At 30.4% G+C, this 8,372-nt stretch overlaps 1 protein-coding gene across 28 annotated transcripts in view; it reads right to left on the minus strand.

The window, feature by feature from the left end:
- FAM227B (family with sequence similarity 227 member B) overlaps positions 1-8,372 on the minus strand; it is a 293,849-nt gene that overhangs the window by 202,422 nt on the left and 83,055 nt on the right. The gene's annotated exons all lie outside the window — the stretch shown is intronic.

Consider the following 8,372-nt stretch of genomic DNA (forward strand, 5'->3'; position numbering starts at 1 on the left):
GGTTTACTAGAAGCCCAAATATCACCATTGCACAATATATCTATGTAACAAACCTGCACATGTACCTGCATCAAAAATAATCTAAAATAATCTAAAAATAAACATACACACAAAAGAAAATGTAGGTTTGATTTTTTTAAATTAAACTTCTTACTTGAGATAATTGTAGATGTACATAGAGTTGCAAGAAATAATACAAGGAGATACTCTGTACTTTTCACCCAGTTTCCCACAATGGTAACACCTTGTAAAACTATAGTGCAATATCACACTAGGATACAGACATTGATAGAGTCAAGATACAGAACAGATCCATCACAAGTATCTCTCAAATTGCTTGCTTATAGTCACATCTACTCTTTTTCCTTCCCAGTTTCTTCTCTCATCTCTAAATCTTGGCTAGCACTAATCTTTTCCCAATTTCTGTAATTTTGTAACTTGAAGATTGTTATATAAATGAAATCAAATAGTATATGAACTTTTGGGATTGACTTTATTCACTCAGCATAATTCTTTAGAGACTTATCCAAGTCATTTCATATATCTATAATCCATTCCCTTTTTATTGCTGAGTAGTTTTCCATGGCACAGATGCACCATAGTTTGTTTAATCATTTGCCCTTAAGTTTTTATATGTGGCTATCTTTGAAACCCTTTTGTTCAAATTAGTTTTACTATTGACTGTCTAGAGTTTTCCATGGATATATCATATCATCTACAAATACAATTTTAATGCTTTTTTGCAATTATTATGCTTTTAATTGATTCCTATTACGTATTTAGAAAACAATATATGTAACAGATGAAGATGAGGCAATATCAATTATCCAGGAGATTCACACAGAATGGTTTTGAAATCCTGTGGTAAATTCAGTTTGGAATGTTTACTTTAGGCCACTCCTATGGGTCTTTCAAAGCATACTTCACAGCATCAATAAAATCATTCCACACACAAACTGCCTAGCAAGAACACTAACATAAATGCTCTATACTACTTAAATATCAGAATAGGTAGTTCTAACTAAAGTAAACAAAAACTGATCTTGTTTCAGGAAGTTTTATAAGGTTATGACTGGTAGAATTAATCTGAAGATATCAAAATAGTTATGGCAAATGACTAAGAGATTCTTTCTGCAAGAAAAAAAAGTTAACATTTTTTGAGATACCATTGGGTAAAAGTGAAATCAATTTCTTTGCCTCTGTTGTAATAGAACTACAATGAAAGGCTAGAAAAAATTGAATTGTATGTATCTCTAAAATTGCTCCAATATTAAATTATTAGTAGCTAAAATACCAAAAACTATTTATTGTAAAAAGAAGAGTAACAAATGTATCTAAACTGTTCAAGTAAGATATATGTTAGACAAAAAAGAATATTTCCCTTATTTGTAAACTCATTTGAGTTTTAATAGAAGAAAATATATTTTTATTAATTAAAAGTGCAACACATATTAAAACTACTGTAAATATAAAGAAATATAAAGAAAACCCTACAGAAGCACAAGTGTACAGCATTCTATAGAATCACAAATATAATACATAGAATCCTATTTCCAACAGAGAATATTCTTTTGTTTTCAAGTCATTAGATTCCATTTATAATGTTTTACTATGCATTATTACATGACAACAACTCAACACATTCTAAAATACAAGGATAATACACAGGCCACAGTGTTTAAGATAATATAAAAAAGTTTAAACTAATAATTAAATTATAAACATGAAATTCTTTGCCACTAAAAAGCACTATTTTGAAATATTCTTAGGTAAAAATACAAACCAAAATTGCAACTACATGCTGGAAATGTTCCATACCTTGATGTGTATGTTGATTTCATGTATATATGTCTGTGTACATATATTATGTATTGTGTATGCTTATATATATTATATACTATGTATCAAGGCACACCCTACAGATTTGTGTAATGTACTGGATGTATATTAGATTTCAATAAAATAATGTTAAAAACAAATAATCATAGAAAAATTTAAAAATCAGTAATAAAATGTTTAAAGTGTAGGGAAATAAGATATCTCTATCAGAATTCTTCAAGATTCAAATATTCTCTATAACAACTTGCAAATATTTAAAATCAAAATTCCATTTCTGAATATAAAAACACAAAATATCTCATTCATTGTGAAAATGTTTAGATTTCTTGGGAGCCTAGGTGAGAAGATACAGCTAATGCTGCACTTGTACATCAGCTATTTTCCAGAAAGGATCATGTCTCATGCTTTTGTTGTTTAAAAGCATTGTGCATTACTCCCATCATCTTCCCTGTCTTTAGACTGTGGGTTTAGTCCTCCAAGAGGCCCAGTGTTTCTCTCTGCCAAACGCCTGAGAGAACGTGCAACCCTGGCACAATTTAGATAATATATTCAATATGTTTACTACATATTTCATTGTTCATTTACATTTCAGCACTTATTCATTTCCTTAAGAAGGCAAATATAATTTGTGGCCATTATTGTACATTGTTGTTGAATACTGCCAAAAAACATATCCATTAATAAGTTTGTTACTAGATAAACAGGTAGTTACTTTGTCTATTAAATGACTTATGAAGAAATCCTTGGTGGGTTACTATATAGCTATTTAAGGGAATATCTATATATAATATACGTAATATTATATAGCTATTTAAGGGAATATCTATATATAAAATATACATAATATTATATAGATATTTAAGGGATTATCTATATATAATAGATAAATGATAACAGATATTTAGGGAAGCTGGTTGGGGTTTTTGAATGGCTTGGGAGCACACTGATGTTCCTCTCAATTAAATTATCAAATGTCAGTTGCCACTATTTGAAAATTTGCTATTTGAAACATTTTTAGGGATTAGAATCATATAATGAAGAAAGCCTGTGGTGAAAAAAATTATAGTTAAACATCATGAGATATAAATAAAGGTTTACTCAGGGGAAACTCATAGCCTTGATTCTTTTATTACTAAGCAATAAATATGAAAATAATGTACAAAACTTTCAGCTCTGTAAGTTAAAAAAGAACAGCAAACAATCATTTAAAAAGACTGAGAGAAAGTAATGACAATACAAGCAAAATTAATGACAAATATTTTTGTCAAGTAAAAATTGCAAATAAAATAATTGTTTCTTTGGTGGAAAATTAGACAAAATAGTCTAGAGAAAACGGGAATGAAAATTGCTTCAGAATAACGCAAAAAGCATCAAGTATGCCATATCTTCTTAAAAAAGAGCATTTACAGAATTTTTCCAATTATAATCGTAATTAATATTCAACAATATTATTAAAATATTAGAATTCTCAAAAAACCATTTTATTGTTTAATCAGAACAACTTTACAAAGTAAACAGATGAAGAAAATGATGTGATTTTTCTAAGATCATAGAGTCACACAGCTCTAACTACAAAGTTAAATAAGAAGAAAAAACTACTTATGCTCATTCACCAAAATATTTACATTTATCTTTACAAATATTTGTAGGTAGAAACCATACAATCTTTTTCATATTTTAATTGGCTAGCATATGGCCACTTGTAAGTCCTTAAGAAAGGCTCGTGTGACTAAAACTCCCTAAACTTTTTATGTTTAAAACAGTTTGTGGTGCACATTTTTGTGTGTCCCCCCCACACTGCTCCATCAATGGCACATCCTCCAATTGCTTTTGTTGTATCCCATAAGTTTTGATATGTTGCTTCCATTTTCATTTTTTCCTCAAGATATTTTGATTTTCCTTTTGATTTCTTTCTTGACCCAATGGGTGTTCAGTTTCTATATATTTATAAATTTTCCTCTTCCTATTACTGATTTTTAATTTCATGTCATCGTGGTCAGAAGAGATGCTTGATATGATTTTAGCCTTCTTAAAGTGGTTAAGACTTGTTTTGTGGCCCAACATATGATCTATCCTGGAAAATGTTTTGTGTGCATGTGAGAAAAATGTGCATTCTGCTGCTTTGGATGGAATGTTCTGTATATGTCTGTTAGGTCCATTTTGTCTTCAGTGTTGTCAAGTCCTTTGTTTCCCTACTAGTTTTCTCTGTAGAAATCTATCAATTTTTGAAAATAGGGTCTTATAGTCTCCTATTATTATTGCTTTGTAGTCTACTTCTTCCCTCAGTTCTGTTAATATTTGCTTTATATATTTAGGTGCTCCAACATCTAGTGCATATATATTTACTATTGTTATATCCTCTTTATGAATTGACTGCTTTATTATTATATGAATAACCTCTTTGTCTCCTTTTTTAAGTTTTTGTTTTAATGTCCATTTTATCTGATAGAAGTAGAGCTTTTCTCACTCTCTTTTATTATCATTTGCATGGATTATCTGTTTTCCTCTTGTCACTTTCTAAGTGCAACCTCAAAGCTGAAATAAGTCTCTTGTAGGCAGCATATAGTTGGGTGTTGTTTTTTAATCCATTCAGCCCCTCTCTATCTTTTGATTGGAGATTGTAATCCATTTAAATTCAATGTAATTGAAACGTAAGGACTTACTCCTACCATTTTGTTTTTCGTTTTCTGGTTGTTTTGTAGATCCTTTGCTCATTTATTACTTTCTTGCTGTCTTCCTTTGTGATTTTATTATTTTCTCTGGCTGTGTAATTTGCTTCCTTTCTGTCTATCTTTCGTGGGTCTACTGTAGGTTTTTACTTTGTAGTTACCATGTGACTTACATAAATCCTATTATAATTACAACAGTCTATTTTGATAGCATAACACACTCACAGGAAGTAATCATTTCCCATGAGAACCATTTCAGGTACATGAGAGCAAGAACTCACTACCTTAAGATCAAGAGCAGGTCACCTCTGCAGGTAGAGCCCAAATGATTCAGACACCTCCCAATAAACTCTACTTAAAGTTTCACCTCTCAATATTACCATGCTGAGAAATAAGGTTCCACATGAATTTGGCAAGAACACTCATATGATAGCAAAACAAAGTAGACTTTAAGCCAAAAACTGTCACAAGGGACAAATAACATTATTTTTTAATGATAAATGGATCAATTTATCAAGAGGATGTAACAATTAAAAGTATATATGCACCCAACATCAGAGTGCCTAAATAAACCAAAGATTATTTGACATGAGATGAGAAATGGATAGCAATACAATAATAACAAGAGACTTTAACACTCTGCTTTCAACACTGGATAAATTAAGAAGACAAGATTAATAATGAAATTACTGGATTGCACTGTGATAACAGACATATACAGACTATTCCATCCAACAGCAGTAGATCACACATTTCTGTCTTATGCAAATGGGACATTCTCTAGGATAGACCATATGTTAGGCCACAAAAAAAATTTTAACAAATTCAAGAAGTTTGAAATCATATCTAGTATTGCTTTCAACCACAATGGCCAGAAACTACAAGTTAATAATGAGGAATGTGGGAAAATTAAAAAACATCTGGAAATCAATGTAATCCTGGCCAATGGGTCAAAGAAGAAATCAAAAGGGAAGTTAAAGAAAAATCGGAACAAAGGAAAATGGAAACATGACATACTAAAACCTGTGGGATGCAGCAAATGGAGTTCTGAGTTGGAAATGTATAGCAACGAATGCCTATATGAAAAAAAATCCCAAATAAATAACCTAACATTATGCCTTAAGGAACTAGAATAATAAGAGCAAATTAAAATCAAAGTTAGCAGAAGGAAGGAAATAACAAAAAACAGAACAGAAACAAAGCAAATAGAAAATAGAAAAATCATTTAAAAATCAATAAAACTAAGAGTTCATTTTTTGAGGAAATAAAATGGACAAACCTTTAGCTAGACTAAAAAAAGGGAGAATATTCAAATAAATACAATAAAAAGGAAAGTGGAGACGTTACAAGAGATACCTCTGAAATAAAAATAATTATGAGACTATTATGAATAATTATATGCCATCAAATTGAAAAAACCTAAATGGAATGGACAAATACCTAGAAAAATGCAACCTATTAATATTAATCAGGAAGAAATAGGAAGCTGGAACATACCAACAACAAATAAAGACATTGAAAAGGTAATTAAAAACCTCCCAACAATGAAGAGCCCAACACCAGATGGCTTTATGGGTGAATTCCACCAAACATATAAAGAAGAATTAATATCAACACTCTTTAAACTCTAGAAATAAAACTAGAGAGAATACTCCCAAACACACTTAGTGAGATCAGCATCACCTTCGTACTGAAACCAGACAGAGATATTACAAGAAAACTACAGGTCAATTTCTCTGATGAACAATGATGTAAAAATCCTTAATAAGATATTAGCAAACCAAATTTAAAAGCACATGAAAAAGATTATACATCATCACTAAGTAGGCTTTATCCCTAGCATGCAAGGCTGGTTTAATAAATGCAATTCAATCAGTGTGACACATCATACCAACACAATCAGTTATGATAGCCTCATGATCATATTAATTGATGCAAAAAAAGCATTTGATAAAGTTCAACATTCTTTTGATAAAAACTCTCAACAGTTTAGATGTAGAAATAAAGTTCCTAAACATAATGAAGGCCATTTATGCAAAACCCATGGCTAACATTATAATCAATTGGAAAAACCAGAACACTTTTCCACTAAGATCCAGTACAAGACAAGGATACTCTCTCTTTGCATTTCTCTTTAACACAGTGCTGGAAGTACTAGCAAGGGCAATCAGACAAAAAAAAAAAAAAAAAAGAAAAAAGAAAGAAAAAACTTGAAAATGGGAAAGGAAATACATAAAATTATCTGTATTTACAGATGACATAATAGTATCTGTAGAAAATCCTAAAGCATTCACAAAAAAGTTAGAACTGATAAGTGATTTCTGCAAAGTTACAGGATACTAAGTCAATATACAATAACCAATTACATTTCTATATATTAACAACAGACTATCCAAAAAAGATATTTAAAAATTCCATTTAATAAGAGGGTCAAAAATAACTATTTAAGAATAAATTTAACTAAGGAGGTAAAAAGTCTGCAGACTGAACACTGTAAAACACTGAAGAAAGAAATTGAAGAAGACAACAATAAAGATATCCCATGCTATGTATCAGAAGAATCAATATGGTTAATATGTCCATACTACCCAAACCTATATACAATGTCAACACAATCTCTAACAAAATCTTAATGACATTCTTCACAGAAATAGAATAAACAATTCTAAAATTTGTATAGAACCACAAAAGATCCTGAGAGGGCAAAGCAATTATGAGGAAAAAAACGTTGTAGGCATTAAACCTCTTGATTTAAAATTATATTAAAAAGCTATAGAAATAATAATTTTTAAAAACTATGGTATTGGCATGAACACCGACATAAAGATGAGGTATAGAATACAGGGCCCAGAAATAAATGACAAACATATGTGGTGAATTAATTTTTGACAAGGGCACCAAAAGAACACAATGAGGAAAAGATAGTTTTTTCAATAAATGGTGCTGGGAAAACTGAATTTCTGCATGCAAAAGGATGAAATGGACCCTTATTTTATGCCACTCAGAAACTCCACAAAAAAAATGGATAGGCTACCTAAATGTAAGACACAAAGTCATAAAACTTCTAAATGAGAACATAGGGCAATAGCTTCTTGACACTGACATATGTGATGAATATTTGGATATCATACCAATAGCTTGGGCTACAATAGCAAAAATAAGCAAATGGGATGACATCAAACTAAACGTCTTCTGCACGTCAAAGAAAATAATCAACAAAATGAAATGGCAACCTATGAATTAGGAAAATATATTGACAAATAATATTACTACTATCTATTAATTGTAATATCTATAATTTATAAAGAATTCATACAACTCAAAGTAGAAAACAACCCAATTAATAAATAAGCCAATGACTTGAATAGACATTCCTTCAAAGAAGACATACAAATATATGAAAAGACACAGAAGTATATGAAAAGGTGCTCAATATTAATTTTTAGGGAAATGCAAATTAAAACCACTATGAATATCACCTCACATAGAATGGCTATTAAAAAGTCAAGAGATTAAAAAAATTGGTAAGGGTGTGCATAAATGAGAACCCTTGTACACTACTGGTAAGAATGTAGACTGGTGCAGCTATTGAGGAAAACAGTATGAGAGTTCCTAAAGAAATTTAAAATAGAACTACCATGTGACCCAGCAATCTCACTTTTGGGTATATTACCCAAAGGAAATGAAATCACCATATCATAAGGGTATCTGCACTCCCATGTTCATTGCAGCATTCCTCACAATAGCCAAGGTATAGAAACAGCCTAAGTGCTTACTGATTGATGAATGGATAAAAATATTTTGGTGTATGTGTAAAACAGAATATTATTCAGCATTTTAAAAAAGGAGATCCTGCCATTTGCC

The sequence above is a fragment of the Homo sapiens genome, chromosome 15 (genome assembly GCF_000001405.40).
Source record: "Homo sapiens chromosome 15, GRCh38.p14 Primary Assembly".
Lineage (NCBI taxonomy): Eukaryota > Metazoa > Chordata > Mammalia > Primates > Hominidae > Homo > Homo sapiens.